The sequence below is a fragment of the Homo sapiens genome, chromosome 19, assembly GCF_000001405.40.
Source record: "Homo sapiens chromosome 19, GRCh38.p14 Primary Assembly".
Lineage (NCBI taxonomy): Eukaryota > Metazoa > Chordata > Mammalia > Primates > Hominidae > Homo > Homo sapiens.
This window is the reverse complement of record NC_000019.10, coordinates 37,884,699-37,907,026: the sequence shown is the minus strand read 5'-3', so window position 1 is coordinate 37,907,026 and position 22,328 is coordinate 37,884,699. Positions and strand designations below refer to the sequence as shown.

At 47.3% G+C, this 22,328-nt stretch overlaps 1 protein-coding gene and 2 long non-coding RNA genes across 7 annotated transcripts in view; 1 reads left to right on the top strand and 2 right to left on the bottom strand.

Annotated features, from left to right (window-relative positions):
• WDR87 (WD repeat domain 87) lies at positions 330–22,204 on the top strand. 4 transcript variants are annotated; one of them, XM_047439499.1, is made up of 6 exons: positions 330–444; positions 8,742–8,862; positions 10,719–10,772; positions 11,571–14,449; positions 15,207–15,475; positions 16,751–22,204. In XM_047439499.1, exons 1-6 carry the CDS (start codon positions 344–346, stop codon positions 22,093–22,095), a joined length of 8,769 nt encoding a protein of 2,922 aa, XP_047295455.1. In that variant the 5' UTR covers positions 330–343; the 3' UTR covers positions 22,096–22,204. The 4 variants fall into 4 exon arrangements, with proteins under 4 accessions (XP_047295455.1, XP_011525662.2, NP_114157.4 ...); XM_011527360.3 differs by having other exon boundaries at positions 10,719–10,889; NM_031951.5 differs by having other exon boundaries at positions 433–528.
• LOC107985301 (uncharacterized) lies at positions 7,948–10,199 on the bottom strand. Its single transcript, XR_001753935.2, has 3 exons — positions 10,172–10,199; positions 8,908–9,098; positions 7,948–8,811 (listed from the first exon to the last, which is right to left on the bottom strand). It is a non-coding gene; the product is annotated as an uncharacterized LOC107985301 (long non-coding RNA).
• The window catches only part of LOC105372395 (uncharacterized), a 40,910-nt gene continuing 28,935 nt past the window's right edge, over positions 10,354–22,328 (bottom strand). For both annotated transcript variants that reach the window (XR_935962.3, XR_935961.2), the window contains one exon: positions 10,354–10,387. This is a non-coding gene — a long non-coding RNA (uncharacterized LOC105372395). The remainder of the gene's footprint in view (positions 10,388–22,328) is intronic.

The window sequence follows — 22,328 nt, the reverse complement described above, 5'->3', positions numbered from 1 at the left end:
TGCAGACTACAGCTCGAGAGCCGCGCTCTTCGCCCCGCCGGGGCGGTTTCTCCTTTCTCCTGGCCCCGTCTACCTCCTCCCTTCATTCGGCGGAACCTCTCCCTCACTCTCTGCCAGGCTCGAGTCACTTACCCCTAGGACGCTAGCCCGGGGGAAACGGGGGAAGCGGAGCAGTGCGCTAGACCCCCAGCGGAGGGGGCGGTGGAGGAGGGCGTAGATGCACGCCCGCGCACGCGCGGTCGTCGGCAGACCCCGGCCTAAATTGCCGCGGGACCCCGCGGAGAGGATTTTTTTTTTTTTTCTTTCGAGAGCGCGCGCGCGTTCTCGCGCCGGGCGCGCGCCCATGCGCACGCGCGTTCAGACCCCTGGCCTCGGGAAGTCCGCCGGCTGCGGGGTTGGGGGCCAACCGTTCTGTGGGCGGAGTCCTCTCGCAACATCCGCCAGGTAGCTTCTTAGTTGCTGCCCCTAGCTCTAGGAGCTCCTGAGTGCACACGCCGTACCCGTCCCTTGTCGGGAATCCTGTCGCAGGTAACAGGCGCAGCCAATGCTTTGAGATAGAGACGCCCTGCCTTCCCTGCCACGTGCAGGAGGCCCGAGGGTGAGGGGCCCCAGGTGTAGTCGCCTGTCCCCGGCGTAGGCGGCTCCAGAGCTCTGCCTTCGACGGGAGCCACAAGACCCAGGGGCTGCCTAGGGGCCTTGTTATCTTGCATTCTTTTGTTGATCGCACATTCCTGAGGGTAACTAGTGTTTGTAGAGTACCTACACCTTGGGAAATTTTGTCCAAATTTAATCCACCTGGTGACATAACCAAGCAGCGGAATACCCCGCAACACACACTCCTTTTTTAAGGTATATTGCCACTCCTCCATAAGAGTTACCGAGGGAATTGACTGGAATTGCAAGGTCCTCTGGTGGAGAAGCCGGAGTCAATACCCTTTCCGCCTCAGCCTGCCTTCTAGGAAGATGTTCACTAACACTTGAAGCTGGGAAGCATATGTTTCTTCCTGGGAGAGCACATTTTTCCACTCATTCAACAAAAATGGATTAACCACCTATTCCATGTCAGGTTGGGTGATTATGGAGACACAAGAGAAATCCAGACAGACTGGACTCCTACCTTCAGGGAGTTTTCAGTCCAGTAGGGATATCAGGCCACCACCAGACTACAACAATGTAGAGCAATACTAGCTAAGAGAAATATACCCTGCACTTTGAGCCACCGAGGCAGGAGGATCACTTAAGGCCAGGAGTTGGAGACTGGCCGGGTAACATAGCAAGACCCTATCTCTACTAAAACTAAAAAACTAGCTAGGCGTGGTGGCATGTGGCCATAGTCCCAGCTATTTAAGAGGCTGAGTATCGCTTAAGCCCAGGAGTTTGAGACTGCAGTGAACCATGATTGCACCACTGCCCTCCAGCTTGGGCGACAAAGCAGAACCCTGTCTCTTTAAAAAAAAAAAAAATTATATATGTGTGTGTTTTTATGTGTAATGCAAGCCACATATGCAATTTTAATTTTGACATAAACAGGTAAAATTCATTTTATTTATCATTATTATTTACTTTTTTTTTTCTTGCTATGTTGCCCAGGCTGGTATTGAACTCCTGGCCTCAAGACATGTTCCTACCTCAGCCTCGCAAAGTGCTGGGATTATAGGCGTGAGCCATCTCACCCAGCTATGAAATTAATTTTAATATTTTATTTAACCCAAATATATCCAAAATATTATTCCAAGTTAGGTTAATGGAAAAATGTTTTCATTGCTTCAGTTCTACTTTTTTTTTTTTTTTTTTTGGAGACGGAGTCCCACTCTGTCGCCAGGCTGGAGTGCAGTGGCGCCACCTCGGCTCCCTGCAACCTCTGACTCCCTGGTTCAAGTGACTCTCCTGCCTCAGCCTCCCAAGTAGCTGGGATTACAGGCAGGCGCCATCACACCCAGCTAATTTTTGTATTTTTAGTAGAGACTGGGTTTCACCATGTTAGCCAGGATGGTCTCGATCTCCTGACGTGATCTGCCAGCCTCGGCCTCCCAAAATGCTGGGATTACAGGCGTGAGCCACCATGCCTGGCCTCAGTTCTACAATTTAAGTTAATTAAAATCAAATAAAATTAAAATGTTATGAGGCACTAACAAAGATACTCATTTGCGGCATTAGCTGCAGTAGCAAAAGGTTGGAAACTACCGAATGTCCATTAATAGAAATTTGAATAAATAAATGATAGTTCAGCCACACGGTGGAATACCCTGCAGCTAGTAACTGTTGGGAAATGAGTTATATGTATTAATATGAATTAGTCTTAAAGGTATATTAAGAGAAAAGTGAATAACAGTGTATATAGTATACTATCACTTGCATAAGAAAAATATTTTTGGCCAGGCACAGTGGCTCACGCCTGTAATCCCAGCACTTTGGGAGGTGGGCGGATCACTTGAGGTCAGGAGTTTGAGACCAGCCTGGCCAAAATGGCGAAACCACATCTCTGCTAAAAATACAAAAAATTCGCTGGGTGTGGTGGCGCACGCCTGTAATCCCAGCTACTAGGGAGGCTGAGGCTCAAGAATCACTTGAACTCAGGAGGCAGAAGTTGCAGTGAGCCAAGATCGCGCCACTGCACTCCAGCCTGGGCGACAGACAGAGACTCCATCTCAAAAAAAAAAAAAAAGCACACACACACACAAAAGAAAGACACAACCAGAGTTACTTCTGGGAAGGGGAAACAGAAGGACAGCTGGTCAGGTGTGAAAAGGTGACTTTTTTTCCCTTACCTGCTCCTTAGTACATTTTCAATATTTTACCATGTCCGTTTTTAAAAGTTGTTTAATGGCCGGGCGCAGTGGCTCATGCCTGTAATCCCACCACTTTGGGAGGCCGAGGCGGGTGGATCACGAGGTCACGAGATTGAGACCATCGAGGCTAACATGGTGAAACCCCGTCTCTATTAAAAATACAAAAAATTAGCCAGGCATGGTGGCGGGCGCCTGTAGCTACTCGGGAGGCTGAGGCAGGAAAACGGCGTGAACCTGGGAGGCGGAGCTTGTAGTGAGCGGAGATGGCGCCACTGCACTCTAGCCTGGGCGACAGAGTGAGACTCCGACTCAAAACAAAACAAAACAAAAAACAAAAAAGGTTGTTTAATTACAGGGAGGATAATAGCTAAGTCGTTAGAATAATTGTAAGAATTAAACCAAATTGGCTGGGTGTGGTGGCTGACACCTGTAGTAATCCCAACACTTTGGGAGGCTGAGGCAAGTGGATTCTTTGAGGCCAGGAGTTTGAGACCAGCCTGGGCAACATGGTGAAACCCCATCTCTACAAAAAGTACAAAAATTAGCCAGGTGTGGTAGCACTAGCCTGTAGTCCCAACTACTCAGGAGGCTAAGGCAGAAGGATCACTTGAGCCGGAGTGGTTGAGGCTGCAGTGAGCCATGATCATGCCACTGCACTCCAGCCTGGGTGAGAGTGAGGCCCTGTCTCAAAATAAATAAGAATTAAAAGATATGTAAAACTCCTGGTTACTACTTTACAACCTAATTAATCCTGGATACTGTCGTTACTTCTCAGGGATCCAGGGTAACTCTTCCATCCAACAGAAACTAGCCCACCCTGTTAATGTATGTTTGTCAGCCTGGAAAACTATTTATTCCCATTAAGAAAGTTAAATGCATTCCACCCCCAGCCCTAGCTATGCAGCCACCTGAAGGCCAGAGTAGCACTCCCAGGCCCTGGGGACAAACTTGGGCTCCTTATCAGTAATGTCATTCAAAGAACCAAGTAAGCCTAGGTTGCCCCTCTGACTTTACAGTCAACTAATTAGGCCCTTCTGATATCAGCTGGACTTTCTGCACCCCTGTGCCCAAATGTGAGACCACCTGCAAGGTTATATAATCCATGCAGGGCCCTGTCTCACAGTGTGGCGCACTCATCACCTTCCTTTTGGGTGGCCAGGTCTCCTCGTTATATGTACTCAAAGCACTTCATACTTTTCCTTCTTAAAACTGAATTTAATTTGCAATTTAATTTGAGGAAATTAAAAGTTGCAGAAAAGTTCTAAAGGATAATATAACCCATCACCTAGAATTTCCCACTGTAATCCATTTTATATCTCTTCTTTGATGACTATAAGCTCTAGGGAGCAAGAAACCTGCCTGGATCCCCTCACACTCACCTGTAACAGAGCACATTGGAGCCAACAAGTGAGCCAAAGGGAGCCCAGGGGCCTGACCGTGTCGTGGAGTGCAGCGCCCCCTAGAGTCAACTCTCTTTAACAAGGCAAAGCTCGTGGGAGGTTTGCCTTTCCTCAGGCCACCAACTAATGCTGTACCTTACAGTGGACTGGTGCTAAGAAAAGGAATATAGTTCCAGTGTCAACACCCAGTCATGGACCTGGTTTGTCTCCACAGTCAGCAGGAATAACATGCGTTGGTCCCAAATACCCTTCACGCTAAATTGGCCACAGAGCTTGAATTCTCCCATTAGATTATCTTTGTGTTAAGATATTAAACAATCAGCCGGGCATGGTGGCTCACGCCTGTAATCCCAGCACTTTGGGAGGCTGAGGCGGGCAGATGACCTGAGGTCAGAAGTTCGAGACCAGCCTGGCCAACATGGTAAAACCCCATCTCTACTAAAAAAAAATACAAAATTAGCTGGGCATGGTGGTGCATGCCTGTAATCCCAGCTACTCAGGAGGCTGAGGCAGGAGAATCACTTGAACTCCAGAGGCAGGGGTTGCAGTGAGCCAAGATAGTGCCACGGCACTCCAGCCTGGGTGACAGAGTGAGACTCTGTCTCAAAAAAAATAAAAAAGGAAAAAGAAATAAAAGATATTAAACAAGACTGTTGGGATTAAAGCATCTGGAGCTCACTACAAACTTGCTTTTAAGGACAGGTACTGGGATTAGGGAGTCAAATGTCATCCTCTGAGGCTAACCCAAGGAAACTGGTCTATGGTGTGGGAAAGAGTGGCAAATAAATAAATAAATAAATAAATAAATAAATAAACATAGAGGGCCAGGTGCAGTGTCTCATACCTGTAATCCCAGCACTTTGGGAGGCTGAGGCAGGTGGATCGCTTGAGCCCAGGAGTTCGAGACCACCTAAGCAACATAGGGAGACCCTGTATCTACAAAAAGTTTTTAAAAAATTAGCCAGGCATGGGGGTGTGTGCCTGTGGTCCCAGTTACTCGGTAGGCTGAGGCAGGAGGATTGCTTGAGCCCAGGGGTTTGAGGCTGCAGTGAACTGTGACTCTACTACTGCACTCCAGCCCGGGCAACAGAGCGAGACCCTGTCTCAAAAAAAAAAACCACATAAAATTAAATAAACATAGAGATTTGGGGTTTGAAAGTCCTCCTTCTCACTCATCACCTAGAAATATTCCCCCAAATAGTCCCAACCATTTGCTCTCTGTAGGCCGGTCAAGAGAAGTGGGACCCAGTGGAGCTATTTGGAATATGGGAAGTGATGGCAGTGACTGCAAATTTGTTACAAACGACTACTCTCTCAGCAGCTCCAGGGCCACAAGAAGGGGCCAGTGGGGTAACTCTGAGTTGTGGTTGTTGTTTGGGTTTTTTGGTGTTGTTTTGTTTTGTTTTTGAGATGGAGTCTCGCCCTATCACCCAGGCTGGAATGCAGTGCTGCAATCTCGGCTCACTGCAACTTCCGCCTCCTGGGTTCAAAGCAATTCTCTGCCTCAGGCTCCTGAGTAGCTGGGATTACAGGCGCCCGCCACCATGCCTGGCTAATTTTTGTATTTTTAGTAGAGACAGGGTTTTACCATGTTGGCCAAGCTGGTTTTGAACTCCTGACCTCATGATCCACCCACCTCAGCCTCCCAAAGTGCTGGGATTACAGGCGTGAGCCACCGCACCTGGCCTTTTTTTTTTTTAAGACAGGATTTTGCTCTGTCACCCAGGCTGGCATGCAGTGGGGCCATCATAGCTGACTGCAGCCTCAACCTCCTGAGCTCAAGTGATCCTCCCATCTCAGCCTCCCAAATAGCTAGGACCACAGGCACATGCCACCACGCCTGGCTAATTTTTTTTTTTTTTTTTTTTTTTTTTTGTAGAGACAGGGTCCCACTATGTTGCCCAGGCTGGCCTTGAACTTCTGGCTGAAAGCGAGTGAGCCTCCCACTTTGGCCTGGGGTAACTCCCACAGGGGCCTCCACTGCTGTGCAGGATCTGAAGCAGATCAACTAGAGCCTGAAAGGCATTCAGAATGAGCAGCAAGTGCAGGGTTGAGTGGAACAGAATGGAGACAGCTATCGCAGGAGGGCAGCATGCAGTCTGGGGAGCGTGGAAAGAGACAGGATGGTGTGTGCTGCCAGCCAGTCCCAAGTTCCCATTGTGAGTGGATTTGTGGATCGGAGAGCCTTCTGAGCATCAGCCAGCAAAACCTCTTCCTCCTCTGATATAGTAGAAGAATCCTGAACTGTGGATTGGGTCTTTTTTTTTTTTTTTTTTTGAGACGGAGTCTTGCTCTGTCACTGAGGCTAGAGTGCAGTGGCGTGATCTCGGCTTGCTGCAACCTCTGTCTCCCATGTTGAAGCGATTCTCCTGCCTCAGCCTCCCGAGTAGCTGGAGTTACAGGCGCCCATCACCGTGCCCGGCTAATTTTTGTATTTTTAGTAGAGACAGGGTTTCACCATGTTGGCCAGGCTGGTTCTTGAACTCCTGACCTCGTGATCCACCCACCTCGGCCTCTTAAAGTGCTGGGATTACAGGCATGAGCCACTGCACCTGGTGGATCTTAGTCTTGATCTGCCCTTTGTAGACTCAAACACATCCCTTTTCCTCTTTGAGTTAATGTTCCTCTTTTGTACAATGGAGATGATGATATCTGCCTCTCAGGATTCTTTCAAGAACTAATGAAATGATTGATGTTGAAAGCTTTTCTGTGGGCTCTCACCCACTGTATGCATGTGAGATGATGATGGTAAGTTTTGCCTGCTGCTTTCCCCCATCCCAAATCCAGTGAGCAAGTCTCTGTGGCATACCAGAAGGTGTGTTTTGCTGACCTTGCTTCAGGAAGCCCAGGCCAAATGAATTGGGACTCCAACAGTTCTCTAAACCAGTGTTTTTCACATTTTGGTTATTGTTGAAGCAAGGTGCAACGGTTCATGCCTGTAATGCCAGCACTTTGGGAAGCCAAGTCTTTGGGAAGCCAAAGCTTGAGGCCAGGAGTTAGAGACCAGCCTGGACAGCATAGTGACACCCCCTCATCCCTACCCCACCCCCACTCCCATCTCTACAAAAATTGAAACAAAAAAACAAAATAGGCCAGGTGTGGTGGCTCATGCCCGAAATCCCAGCATTTGGGGAGGCCAAGGTAGGAGGATCACTTGTGACCAGGAGCTCAAGGCCAGCCTGGGCAACATAGTGAGACCCTGTCTCTACAAAAACAAAACAAAGAAACAAAAATTAGCCAGGTGTGGTGGCATATGCCTGTAGTCCTAGCATGTGGGAGGCTGAAGTGGGAGGATCACTTGAGCTCTGGAGTTCAAAGCTGCAGTGAGCTATGATGGTACCACTGCACTACAGCCTGGGAAACAGAGCAAAGCCTTGTCTCTTTTTTTTCTTTTTTTTTCCTTTTTTTTTTTTTTTTTTTTGAGACTGAGTCTCACTCTTTCCCAGGCTGGAGTGTAGTGGTATAATCTCGGTTTACTGCAGCCTCTGCCTCCTGGGTTCAAGTGATTCTCCTGCCTCAGCCTCCAGAGTAGCTGGGATTACAGGGGCGTGCCACAACGCCCAGCTAATTTTTGTATTTTTAGTAGAGACGGGGTTTCACCATATTAGCCAGGCTAGTCTCGAACTCTTGACCTCAGGTGATCTATCCTCCTCCGCCTCCCAAAGGGCTGGGATTGCAGGCGTGAGCCACGGTGCCCAGCCAAAACCCTATCTCTTAAAAACAAAACAAAACAAAACAAAACAAAACAACACAACAACAACTCATTGATGGGCCTTAATCTCAGATTGATGGGCCTTAATCTCAGATTGATGGGCAGCAACAACAATTATTCATTGATGGGCCTTAATCTCAGAATTTCCAATTGAGTAGGTCTGGGGTGGGGCCCAATAATTTGCATTTTTAACAACTTCCCACCATTTCTCTAAACGGATGAAGTTCTTCTACATCTGGCAGGAAAGGTTGGCCTCCGTTGCCCTCTGCTGGCCAGACTATAAATTTAACTGTCATGTTTCCAGAGCAGCTGAAAAGCATGAAGTATGAGTTGGAAGGAAATAGAGTGGTCACCTGTCTGAGAACTAGGCCAGCCTACAAACAGCAGTCGTAAGTGTCTGTCACTTACAGTCGTTAAGTGTCTGTCCTGGTTCATGAGGTCCAGGGACCATACTTTGAGAACCCACAGTCTTCACAAAATGCTCTCCGGACACACCACAAAATGTGAAGGACTATTATTTGCCTGTGAGGGTATTCTTTCCCAGCCCCTCTCTCGGTTTCTCTGGTTCTCTCACCCATATATGTTACTGGGTTACGACAGGAACACGCTAAGATTCACTCCCAATTTGCTCTCTCCAAGCCTCAGTTTTCTCATCTATAAAATGAGATAATGCCTACCTTACTGGGCTGTAGAGTGGATGAAATGAGAAGGTATGTCTTGTGCACAGTTCCTGACTTTCAGAAGGTGTTCAATAAACATGAGTTCATTGTTGTTGCTTTCTGATTCCTAGCTTCTCGGAAAATGGCAGTGACTAAGCTGGGCTCTTTTGGATTCCCACAGGTTTTTAAGCAACAGTCCTCAGGAGGGCCAAGGGAGTCTGACGGTGATGTCTTCCCCCAGGCTCATTCCCCTGTGGAAAGATTTAAAACTCCTCCTAAATGACACCATAAATAAAAGCAAGGTAATGTATATGTAGGACATAAACATATTATAGGTTGGCTGCTACCTGTCTTACAGTCATGAGCATTTCAGAAGAGCCACAGATTGTCCTTGAGAACAGGAAGCAAACAGGGTATACTATAGTCACCACCTTAGCAGGAGGTAGGCCATCAATTTCCATGAGTCACAGACTTCTCGCAAGGACATTTTGATAGTGGAAAGTGGACACTCTGGAGGATTGTAAGAGGAACTGACCTTCTGGAAAGAGAGTTTTTCTATTATTTTATTTTATTTATTTTGAGACACAGTCTCGTTCTGTCGCCCAGGCTGGAGTGCAGTGGCATGATCTCGGCCCACTGCAACCTCAGCCTCCCAGGTTCAAGCAATTCTCCTGCCTCAGCTGCCTCCCAAGTAGCTGAAACTACAGGCGCACGCCACCACGCCCAGCTAATTTTTTGTATTTTTAGTAGAGATGGGGTTTCACCATGTTGCCCAAGCTGGTCGTGAACTCCTGAGCTCAAGTAATCTGCCCACCTCGGCCTCCCAAAGTGCTGGGATCACAGGCATGAGCCACTGTGCCTGGCTGAGAGATTTTTTAAAACAGGGGAGGAGGCACCAGAGAAAACAGTTGCCAAGCTCAGTTTTGCTATGGTTGGCTCTGCATACAAGGATCCCAGGGCCAGGCGTGGTGGCTTATGCCTGTAATGTCAGCACTTTGCCAGGGCGAGGTAGGCAGATCACCTGAGCTCGGGAGTTCAAGACCACACTGGGCAACATGGTGAAATCCCGTCTCTACTAAAAATACAAAGTATTAGCCGGGTGTGGTAGCCCGTGCCTGTAGTTTCAGCTACTCGGGAGGCTGAGGCAGGAGAATCACTTGGAACCCAGGAGGCAAAGGTTGCAATGAGCCGAAATCAGGCCACTGCACTGCAGCATGGGGCCACAGAGTGAGATCTTGTCTCAAAAAAAAAAAAAAAAAAAACAGGATCCCAGATGCATGTTTCATAGCACATGGTCTATCACCATGGGATAATATATATATTGTATAAATGCTTGTCCTCTGTCAAATTTAAAGGCCAGATAGGGTGTCCCAAGAGTCTCACTTAGTGCAGCTTTAAGCTTCAGTAACTTAGAGCTGCACTGACTTTGGGAGATTCCGCTATATTCCATGTGTGCGTAAGGTGATGTACTTGCCTGACTATTCTGTTAAATATTGTGTCTTTTATGGTACATGTACCTTCTACACACAAGCGAGAATGTTAGAGGGGGCTGGACTCAGTAGCTCATGCCTGTAATCCCAGCACTTTGGGAGGCCGAGGCGGGCGGATTACCTGAGGTCTGGAGTTCAAGACCAGCGTGGCCAACATGGTGAAACTCCATCTCCACTAAAAATACAAAAAATTAGCAGGGCCTGGTGGCATGTGCCTGTAGTCCCAGCTACTTGAGAGGCTGAAGCAGGAGAATCGCTTGAACCTGGGAGGTAGAGGTTGCAGTGAGCTGAGATCACGCTACTGCATTCCAGCCTGGGCAACAGAAAGAGACTCCATCTAAAAAACAAAACAAAAAAAAGAATGTTAGAGGGCAGGCATGGCTAACTTCATGTTGAAAAGAACATCATTTTTCCCTGTGTTCACACTATGAAATTTGCACACAGAGACTCTGCAGGGTTGTGTTCCCTCATGCATTGGGGGATTTGTTACATGCTTGTGAAGTATAGCTGTGCCACAGGTGATAAGTTATGCACGTGTGAGTGTAACAGGAGTAGGTCCTTCGGGTGGGAAGCATGACTTTGGGAACTGCTCCAACTGTGACTTGTGCGAGAATATATTTAGTGCCTCTGTGCCCTGGCCTCTTAGTTTATGCCACGCCTCTCTCCAGCAACCTTCGGAAGACCCAAAGAACTGCCTGATTGTGCTGAGTGACCGGTCCCAGGTACTGTTCAAAGAGTCTCGCTATCCTCAAAATATGCCGTGTGTATGCTATTACTTCAGTGATGCCCACTTCTTCGCCTCCCTCTCTTGGGTGACATCAAACACAAAAGAAATACAAGTAAGACTGCCTTTCTTACCCTTCTTGGCCCATTCTCCAAGAGCCATGCCCATATAACTGTTAGCCCAGATTGACAAAGGAGGATATTCCCCATGGATGAATGTGGTCTGGAACCAGAAATCTCTCCTCATCCTTTCTCCAATTATAGTCCCCATGTTGAGTAGGTTGTATGGTTCCCCCGAAGTAAACCAAGGTTAGGAAAAGGGTCCTAGGATTCCTGCCTCTACCGTATTTCCAATTCCCATCACCAAGGGATAAAATCACTTGAGTCCTCCAATTCCTCCTTAACATAAAACATGGGGAAATAAGGGAATATTCTGCCCTACCATCAGCTCTAGGCAGTTTCATCTTTTTTTTTTTTTTTTTTTTTTGAGACAGAGTCTCGCTCTGTCACGCAGGCTGGAGTGCAGTGGCGCAATCTTGGCTCACTGCAGCCTTTGCCTCCCAAATTCAAGCGATTCTCCTGCCTCAGCCTCTCGAGTAGCTGGGATTACAGGCACCGACACCACACCCAGCTAATTTTTGTATTTTTAGTAGAGATGGGGTTTCACCATGTTGGCCAGGCTGCTCTCGAACTCCTGACCTCAGGTGATCCACCCGCCTCGGCCTCCCAAAGTGCTGGGATTACAGGCATGAACCACCTCACCCGGCCTAGGCAGTTTCCTTCTTATTCTCTTCTAGGCTGTAGCATGGATGAAGAGCAAAACTGAGGACATGGTTGAGAAAAGAACATTCTCCATGACTGAACGATTGCCACCCATCCAGTCCATGGTCCATGCAGGCTCCTTTCATATCCTCGTGGTCTACTGTGGTGACCTGATCCTGCGACTCTTTGGGGACCACTTTCGGGCATTCAAACCCCTGGGTAAAGTGCCCTGCCGCTTCAACATCAGCTGCCTCTGCTATGACCCGGAAATGAAGATGCTTCTGTCTGGCATCCTGGGGGCAGTGGTGACCTGGGTCATTGAGCTAGGTGGCACGGGCCTCCAAATAGCCCACATGGTCTCCATGCCAGGTGATGAGCTTGTCCAGGACATCGTGCTGAATGGTCCCAGTGGCTCCCTCCTGGCCCTGTGTGAGACGGTGGTGAGGGTCCTTATGCACCAGGGCAAGGGCCAGCTGGGAGAGGTAAAGAGGTTCACGTCCACCAGCAGCGGCTCCTCCATCACCTGCTGCTTCACCTGTTTTGATCAGGGCTTTCTCTATGCTGGAAACCAAGCTGGGGAAATCCAAGTTTGGAGCCTCCAGCAGGGCCATCCACTCCACAGTTTCCAGGCCCATCAATCAGGAGTGATCTGTATCCGCAGCCGACCAGAGGCCCACACCCTGCTAACAGCTGGTAGTGACAGCCTAATCAAGGAGTGGAACCTGACTTCAGGGAGCCTGCTTCGGCGGCTAGAGCTTGGTGAGGAGCTATACCGGCTCCAGTTTATTGACAGCATTACTTTCTTCTGCCAAACTGCCCATAGTTTTTCCTTGCACCGCCTGCCCTGCTTCTACAGCCTCTTCAATGTCTGTGGCTCTGCTCCCCAGCAGTTGCGTCGGGTCTGCTGTGGAAATAACTGGTTCCGGATCCTGTGTACCACTGAGGATGGCTTGTTGCGCTTTGTGTCCCCAGTAACAGGGGACCTTCTGGTTATCACCTGGCCCTTCTCAATCCTGGACCAGGCTGTGGATTGGGCCTACGACCCAGGTAAAGAGGAGCTCTTTGTAGCAACAGGCAGCTCAGAGGTTCTGGTATTTGACACAACCCGCTGCCCTTGCCCAGCCAAGTATCTCTTAGGCACCTCACCAAATTCTCAGGACTTTGTACAATGCCTGGCTTATGGGCATTTCAACTTGGGGCGGGGTCTAGAGGGACTGATATTCTCTGGGCACCAGAGTGGTGTGATAAGAGTGCTCTCCCAGCACAGCTGTGCTCGATTAGAAAAATTCATGCACTTTGGCGCTGTACTGGCACTCTCCACGCTGTCTGGAGGGATTTTTGGTGGCCAAGGAAACTCTCTGCTCTGTTCCTATGGAATGGATGACTATGTGCACCTGTCAGAAGCTGTGCTTGATGGGGTCAAAGTACAACTGCGGCCTCTCGCCAGCATTCTCAGCAGCTGTCACCTAACACATCTGATACTCTTGCCCAAGTCTGTGGGTGCCATCACAGAGACAAACTGCCTGCGTCTCTGGAAGTTCCATGATTTTCTGTCCTCTGGGTCACAGAATGGCTTGAAATTCATAGAAACACTGCCTCTGCACCTGTGTGCCATCACATCCTTTGATGTCTGCCTCTCCTTGAGTCTTTTTGTCACAGGTTCTGCCGATGGCTCTGTTCGGATCTGGGACTTCCATGGCAGACTCATAGGCATTCTGGACTCATCACTGCACTTTGGCCCAGTCTGTTTTGCAAATGACCGGGGTGACCTGCTTGTGACTTTTAACCAGAGTCTTTACCTAGTGTCCTGTTTAAAATTGCTTCCCCCAGCCCTGCTGACTCGCCTTTCCTTTATGAGCATATCAGATGAAGTACTGGAAGTCCCTAAGCCTTTCATACCAAGCTTCTTCTTCTCCTTTGAGACCATGTTTGTGCCCAAGTACATCTACCCTGGACAAGCGCAACAGAAATTAGTGGGTCTGGAGAAACTTGTCAACAACCGGGCCATTGCCTTTGACCATTCTGTGCCACATGTGATAGAAGAAGATGAGGAAGGGAGCCCAGTGTTACTGCGTTCCTCCATGCATTATTCTTTGCAGGACATGGAAGATTGGATGCAGGTGAGCAAACGTTACCAATGCCATTATGTGCTTCCTCCCCAGCTACAACTGACTAGCTGGGATGGACTCAACCCCTATCAGATATTGCGATACTACTTTGGTCATGGGCGGGAATGGCTTTTTGCCCCTGACTGCTATATCCCCAATTCAGTGATTCGTGCCCGTCTTTGGCCAGAGGGCACCCCAATATACCTACAGTGCAACCTGCATGCACCCCAGCGGGAGCTGGAATGGGACAGGTCTCAAGAATTCTTTTTCTGGCACAGCAGGGTAAGAGCTATAAGTAATACAGAATATCCAAAGAATAAGGAGGAGGATGAACACTTCCTAGAAATGAGACTTTCCAAGGATGTAACCTACAGTGTCCTTACAGATGGAGCAAACCGAAGTTGGCTGGGAAGAAAGATGAGTGAAATAACCATTAATAGCATGATTGAGACAATGCTCAATATTATGGTCCATGCTTCCTTGCTGAAGTACCAGTGCTGTGTTGGTGCACTAGGGCAAATCTTTGCCTCTTACCAGGTGTCCCCAGCCCTACGCTCTGAGACAGCCCGTCGGCTACTGAATGATACAACCAATTCCAACCCGCTGATCCGAGAACTAGCTTGGGAAGGGCTGAAGCGTCTAGGAATGATTACTCATCTTTTTGCCATGCCTCTGGCTCAAGGATTAATGGACAAGGATGAAAGAGTGAGGATCAAGACCCTAAGCCTCATGGCTGAGATTGGAATCCACTCTAGGACCTCACTCTTACAGCTGACCCAAAAACAAGAGACTTTTCGGGAGATGCAGTAAGTTTGTGCTTCCTTCAATTCTTCACCCCATTCGCCATTTTCCCCCTCCTTTCCTTTGCTATTTCTTCATCCCTGTTCATTAATTCTCCCTGATGTTTCTTCTTTCTCATAGCCTTTGCTCACGCCTAGATGACTATCCTTGACAATCCCGACTGTTCACTCCTCTTCCTCCTCCTCTTCCTTCTTTTTTTGAGACAGGGTCTTACTCTGTTGCCCAGGCTGGAGTGTAGTGGCGCGATCTTGGCTCACTACAACCTCTGCTTCCCAGGCTCAAGCAATCCTCCTGCCGTAGCCTTCTGAGTAGCTGGGGCTACAAGCATGCACCACCACACTGGCTAATTGTTTGTAGAGACAGAGTCTCACTATATTGCCCAGGCTGGTCTCGAACTCCTGGGCTCAAGAAATCTTCCTGCCACCTTGGCTTCCCAAAGTGCTAGGAGTACAGGCATGAGCCACCATACCTGGCCTGCTCACTCCTTTCTCCATTGCTTTTCCTATGTGTCCGCTACTTCTTCAAGTTCCATTTTCATCCTTTTCTCCTGCTTCTACAGCCTCCAATACAGATCACTCCATTCATTGCCACCTTGGCTTCCTAGATAGTTTCTTTTGTCTCAGCCATTATTTTCCTCTGCATATGCCATCTCTCTTGGCCACTTTGCCAAGCCTCCTGCCTGTTCCACAACCGTTTTTTGCTTCCCATTCTCCCTTTTGTTCCTGACTCAGCATAGTCCTTCTTCTCCTTTGACTTTCATAGGCAGCAGATGATCGGGGAGGAACCCCTGGACCATCTACTGGGGATGCGGGCCACAGATCTCCAAATCCTTTCCACTCAAGTGGAGCAGAGATTGAATGAAAACCTGACCCTGTCACATAGAGATGAAAAGCCGGCTTTTTCTTTAGATGTCTCAATGCCTTCTGAACTTAAATCCTCCCTGAAACCTCCTACAGTTTCTGAAGAATCTGAAGTGGCCATCAAGCCCAGCAAAGGCCAAAGACGAGGCCAAGCAGGGGTCAAAAAGCATAGTATGTAAGGGGTAATCTGGTCTGTGCCTCAGGGTCCCCAAGAGGCAGGGTAGTTAGGGTTAAAGTGGATCAAGAGATACTAGGTGGGCTGGCGGGACATGATGGCTCATGCCTGTAATTCCAGCACTGGGACGCTGAGGTGGGCAGATCACTTGAGGTCAGGAGCTCGAGACCAGCCCGGCCAACATGGTGAAACCCCGTCTCTACTAAAAATACAAAAATTAGCCAGGCATGATGGTGGGTGCCTGTAATCCCAGCTATTTGGGAGGCTGAGGTGGGAGAATCACTTGAACCCAGGAGGTGGAGGTTGCAATGAGCAGAGATGGTGCCACTGCACTCCAGCCTGGGTGACAGAGCGAAACTCCATCTCAAAAAAAAAAAAAAAGAGAGATACCAGGTGGGAAGAGAGATAAGTGGAAAGATCTCATCATAGAAAAGACACTCTCGGGTGAGGGACTAAGGGAGGGCTAGCATTAGGAGAAATACCTAATGTAGATGATGCTGGGTTGATGGGTGCAGCAAACCACCATGGCACCTGTATACCTATGTAACAAACCTGCACGTTTTGCACATGTATCCCAGAACTTAAAGTATAATTTTTTAAAAAAATGTATAGATAAGGAAATTATAGTGTATTCATAAACTGAAATACTACTGTGATAAAAAAGAGTGATACATGCAACAACATGGAAGAATCTCAAAAACTATTGAAAGAAAGCAAACACAAAAGAGCACATTTTTTAATGATTCTATTTATTTGGAATCCTAAAAAAGGCAAATGAATCTACAGTCACAGAAAGCAGATCAGTGGTTGCCTAGGGCCAGAGGTTAAGGGTAGATAGATGTTGACTGGGACACTATATAGGAGGGAATTTAGGGGGATAATAGAAATGCCTTATATCCTGATTGTGATTGCAGTAATTACAAAAGTGTATACATTTTTCAAACTCATCAAACTGTTTGCTTAAAATGGGTATATCCTGTTTAAATTATACCTCAGTAAAATTGATTTTTATGAAAGCAATGAAAAAAAAAGACTTTCTAAGGAAGGATCCACTCAAACTCAGGAAGACTCTAAGGCCTAGCTCTCTAGGATTTGGCAGGAGTAGGGGGCTAGGAATAAAGCAAAGAGAATGCTTTTTTTTTTTAAGGCCTCAGTTCTCTCTGTTGTTACTTCTTATATGACAGTTCTTCTTAGCTCACACCTAATATTGGGAAGGGTTTCATGTCGCTTCCCATACTTTGCTTACCTCCATCTCTCGATTTTTACTGCAGGCCAAAAATGGTTGCGGGGTCTCAAGAAGACGAAAGAGAGAGACTCTAAACAGATGAGCACAGAGCCAGGCCTCTTAGAGGATGAAAGTGGGACTGAGGCCGCACCAATTGAGATGGAGGAAGCATCCGTCTATTCCCAATGGTCTTCAAGCACCAGTGTAATAAAGCTCTCAAAAGATGTTGATTCTCAAGAGAAAGATATCTCGAAGGATCACATTGCATTGACCCTGAAGAGGCTGCAGAAAATACGTGACAAAAGAGACAAGAAAGCAACAGCTCAGAAACTCAAAAAGAAGCACAAAAAGAAGGGAAAAGAAGCCAAAGTTATAAATGAGGAAACTACACCTCCTGTAATGGAACAGCCAGTTACTAAAAAGGTTAAAATCCAAGGGCGGGGAGCCTCTGGAATATCTGGCCGCAGGTCAACCGCTGGAGATGGCTCATCATGGAGGGACGATCTATGTCGTCTTATGGCCCTGAGGATATCTGGTTCCCAAACAAAAATGTCAGAAAACCTAAACGCTGAGCTAGTGACATTTGCTCAGGAGATGCTGGTAGATAGGCACCCCAGCTGGGAACTCTTTCAGGAGATCTGCCCCCTATTGAAGAAAGAAAGTAAGGTTCTGCTTGAGGACCTTGATTGGGATGTAGTCCCGCCAGAGAAGAAACCAATTTTTATCCAGGAAGGAGCAATTAGAGAGGACATGATACAAGGTGTGACCCAAGAGGTGATCAGACACAAGGAAGTGATGCCAAGGGAAGAAGAACAAGCACAAAAGAAAGCAAGAGACATGCTGGGCTTGGAGGAAACCCAAGTGATTTTGAAAAAGGGCAAGAAAGTTATTTTTTTAGAACCAGGTAATGTAACCATGGGAAAAGAAATATCAAAGAAAGAAGAGAAGAAAACCTTTCAGAAGTCACCTAAGCAAGGGAGGAAAGCTGTCCAGAAGGAAAGAAAAGTAGGAAAAATAAAGAGGGAAATGACCAAAGAAGAGAGGGATATGAGTGAGGAAGTGGAGGAAATGGCCACACTAGAGGAGAAAGTGGTCAAACAAGAAGGAAAACTGGTTATGATTGAGAGGACACCATCTTGGCAGGACTGGAAAAAGGCCTGGGATGAGTGGAAACAGGTCCATGGTGAGACAAGGAAATCCTGGAAGGCATGGAAGGAAGAATGGGAGAAGAGGCTTCTTCAGGAAGAGGAGAAACTACATCAGGCTGGAGAGAAGCTATCCCCGGAGGAGGAAATGCTTCAGGAGGACAAGAAGCTGAAATGGGAGGAGTGGAAACAAGTCTGGGAAAATATGTTATCATCTAAGTCCAAGGAGCAACAGTACAAGGATGAGGAAGAAGTGACTTTGGAGGAAGAAGTGTCTCGGGAGGGGGAAGAAAAAGAACAGCAGGTCACAGAAGAGCAGAGACACATCCAAGAAGAACACAAATGGGCCAGAATACACAGGAAACGAGCCCGAGCTGAAAAAAAACGAGCCCAAGAAGAGAGGAAATTAGCACAAGAAGAAGAGAAACTTGCACAAGAAGAGAGACAGTTGGCCCAGGAAGAGAGAAAACTGGCCCAGGCATACGTGAAAATAACCCAGGATGACAGGGAAATGGCCCAGGCAGAGGGTAAGTTTGCCCAGAAAGAGGAAACACTGGCCCAAAGAGGGGAGAAGCTAAGCCAGGAGGCGGAGAAATTGGCCCAGAAAAGGAAGAAACTGGCCAAGAAATGGGAGAAAGTGGCTAGAGAAGAAGAGAAACTAGCAAAGAAAGGAGGGAAACTGGCTGAGGTGAAAAACATATTGGCCCAGAAAGTGGAAGAACTGCCCCAGAGGGAACAAAATCTGGACTGGCAAGAAAAGGAGCTGGCCCAGGAATTGGAGGAACTGGAATGGGACATGGAAGAACTGTCTTGGAAAGAAGAGGAACTGAATCAGGAAGAGGGGAAACTGGTTGAGGAAAAGAAGAAACTGGCTGAGGAAGAGGAGGCATTGGCCTGGCAAAGGGAGAAACTGTCTGAAGAAGAGACAAAACTGGCCCAGGAAGAAGAGTTGCTGATCCAGGAAAAGGAGAAACTGGCCCAGCACAAGGAAAAAATGCCTGAGGAAGAGGAAAGACTGGGACGGAAAAGGGAGCAATTGATTGAGAAGAAGATGAAACTGGCCCAAAAAAGGGAAAGATGGATCAACAGCATGGAAGAACTCACAAAGAACAAGATGATACTGTACCAGAAGAAGAATCTGGCTCAGGAAAAGAAGAATCTGGCCCAGGAGAAGGAAAAATTGGCTCAGAGGAAAGAGAACCTACTCTATAATAAAGAAAGACTCACCCACAGCAAAAAGCAATTAGTGCAAGTAAAGAACAAATTGGGAATGTTCAACAAGATACTGGCTCAGGTAGAGGAGAAGCTGACACAGGAAAAGGAGACTGTGATCAAGAAGAAGGAGAAACTGGCTGAAACAGAGAAAAAATTGGTCCAAGTAGAGGATAGTTTGGCCAAAAAACAGGAGAAATTGGCCCAGGAAAAAATGAAATTAGCTCTGGAGAAGGCAATGGTCCAAGGAAAGAAACGGCTCAGAGGAGAGTTGGATATTGCTAAGGAAGAAAAGGCATTGAACCTGGAAATGAAAAGACTGGCTGAGGAGAAGATGAGACTGGTTGAGGGAAAAGAAACACTGTCTAAGGGAGAGACTCCAGAAACTTCTAGACAAAGGAAAATGACTCAAGTTGAACAAGAACTATTTGAGAGAAAATTGTCACTAGAGGAGAAGATACTGCTACATGAAGACAGGATATTGGCCATGGAGGAAAGCGAAATTGCCAAAGGAAAACTGGAATTTACTAGAGGACAGAGAATATTTGTCCAGGGGCAAAGAAAGTTAGCCAAGGCTTCAAGGAAGTTGATTAAAAAAAGGGAGAGCCTTTCCAAGGAACCAGCAAAACTGAACAAAATCTTAAAGGCACTTCAAAAACTAACCAGGGATGAAAGGAAACTAACACAGGAAGAAATAAAAATGACAAAGATGAAGAGGGCACTCTTTGTTAAGGAGCGCAGGTTGAGTATAGAACAGAGTAAGCTGGATATCAAAGAGTGGGATTTTTCTGAAAAACGATCAGAACTGACTAAAGATGAGAAGAAACTGGCTCGGAAGCAGAGAAAACTGGCCAACAAAATGAGAAGAATGATAAACAAAGAAGAAAAAATGACTGAGGAAGAGAGCAAATTGGCCAGAAAGCATTCAGAAGTCATACTGGATGATGAAGAGGAAGGAGGAATAGAAGAAGAAGAGGTAATCCCATTCCTTAAACGAAGGTGGAGAAAGAGGAAAGAGGCCAAGAGAGGTGACAAACCAAAAGAAAAGTTTTCCAGTCAAGTGGATGAAGTGGAAAGTGAAGAGCATTTTTCTGAAGAAATGGAAAGCCTGTTAGATGAACTAGAAAAGCAAGAGAGTTTGTCTTCTGAGGAGGAGGAGGAAAGGGAGGAAGAAGAGGAAAGGGAGGAGGAGGAGGAAAGGGAGGAGGAGGAGGAAAGGAAGGAGGAGGAGGAAGGGGAGGAGAAGCAAGTGGAGAAAGAAGAGGAGGAGAAGAAGAAGAAGAAAAAGGAAAAGAAGAAGGAGGAGGTTCAGGAGAAGGAAGAAGTGTTTGAGGAGAAAGAAGAAATTATGAGTGAGGAAGAGACAGAAAGTTTGAGTGACGAGGAAGAGGAAGAGGAGAGCTGCTCATTGGAAGAAGAGGTGGACAGGGAAAAAGAGATCTTAAAAAAAGAAAAACAATTTAAGTTACAAGAACAAAGAAGAAAGAGCCTAAGAGGAAGGGAAAGAGTCCTTTCCATTTTAAGAGGAGTTCCTCATGGCAAAGGCAGGGCTATAAGACTAGGAGTTCTAAAAAGCCCTTTGAAGAAACTGATGTCAACAGCTCTGGAGATGAAAGAGAAAACACCAGTGCCAGTGCCGGAGAAACAAATATCCTGGGAAGATAAAAAGGCCACAGTAGTTGAAATACCCAGGAAATTCTTAGGGACAATGGATAAAGAAAGAGAAGTGATGGGAAAATATGAACCCATACCTCCACATGTTTTGGGTACAGTTTTGGAGTCCCAAGCACAGGACTTAAAGACCCCATTTATGTCCCACATATTAAGGAGGACCGTGGAAGCTGAGGAACTCCAACACAAACCACTAGGTGCCTGGTGGAAGTGGTTTTTGCAGCATCCACCTCTGATGGGACAGACTGAGGTACAGTTACCTCTCTCCCAAATCCCAGCTAAGGAACAACATGCAGACGTAAGCCTCTCAGATGTAGAGTGGATCCGCCATGTCCTAGAACGAATGGAAGCGGGAGAACAGCTTTCCAGGGATGGTTTCCATAGACTGTGCCAGCTGCTCAAAGACCTTGCCTCAAAGGGAAACTTAGAATGGCTGCATCTGGCCAAACATGAAGCCATTGTGTACCGTCACAGACAGGCCCTGGAGTCACAAGACACAAGGATCTCAAGTAGACAGTCCATGAGTCCAAAATACCTGAAAGTGATTCCTCCTATAAAAGCAAAGGAAAAGGAGAGCTGGCCAAAACCTTTGGCTGTCCCCACACAAAAGTCCCCATTAGCTACCAAGAGGATTCCAGACCCAAGGGCTAAAAATTGGCATCTTCTAGGAGAACCTTACAGAAGTGAGAGGGCACAGCAGATATCCATTGCTCACAAGGAGATGGAAATGCAATACTTTTATCCTGCCACCAGAGACATTTTTCCAAGTGCCCATGCCTCTGTGGAAAAACAAACCCTGGCACTGATGTTTCAAAAGGACTTCTGGGATTTTAAGGATAAACGCAGGTTTCCTAAACTGCCCAAGTTAGAGAAGAAGACACAGCCCATTTCTAAAAAAAAGGAAGAGTTGCCTTTGTGGGAGACATTTGTGGCACTGTACCATGTTTTGCGGATGCTGCAGCAGCGATATCCAAAAGACAGCACTGCTTGGATGGAACAGTTCTACCAGCTCATGGACCTGTACCAACTTAAGTCCCCCAGAATCCAGAAGCTGCTTCAGGAGCTGCTAATGAGAGAGGAACCTCAACCCCAAGAGATCATCTACGAAGAGGCCCTAAAAGCCACAGAGCTAGTTCCCGGGGAACGGCTGTTCTGCTGCCTGTTTTGTGGCAGTTCTCATACTCCTAGAAGTCCTCAGGAGTTCCAGGGTGCGGTACCCCTCCCATGGCAGAACTGTGTGCGCACCATCCTTCCCGTGGGCATTGCCCGGTATGGGATCTTAGAACTTGCCTGGAAGAGCCTGCCTGAAGCTGATCTTCATCTCACCAAGGCACTGACACACACCGTTGCTCCCACTCTCTAATTTGGGACTGACTGGAGGCTGGGACTTTTCATTGCCAACTGGAGAAAGGCCTAATTACCAGGATCTAGACCTTCATCTCTCTCTCTCTCTTTTTTTTTTTTTTGAGACGGTGTTTCACTCTTATTGCCCAGGCTGGAGTGCAATGACACGATCTCAGCTCACCGCAACCTCCGCCTCCCGGGTTCAAGCAAATCTCATGCCTCAGCCTCCCAAGTAGCTGGGATTACAGGTGT

Excerpts from the sequence above, each read along its gene's own strand:
- WDR87 (XM_011527360.3), top strand. The coding sequence starts at position 344 with ATGCGCACGCGCGTTCAGACCCCTGGCCTCGGGAAGTCCGCCGGCTGC. Across the intron at positions 445-8,741 it reads CCTCTCGCAACATCCGCCAG|GTTTTTAAGCAACAGTCCTC; the intron begins GTAGCTTCTTAG and ends GGATTCCCACAG. Across the intron at positions 8,863-10,718 it reads ACACCATAAATAAAAGCAAG|CAACCTTCGGAAGACCCAAA; the intron begins GTAATGTATATG and ends GCCTCTCTCCAG.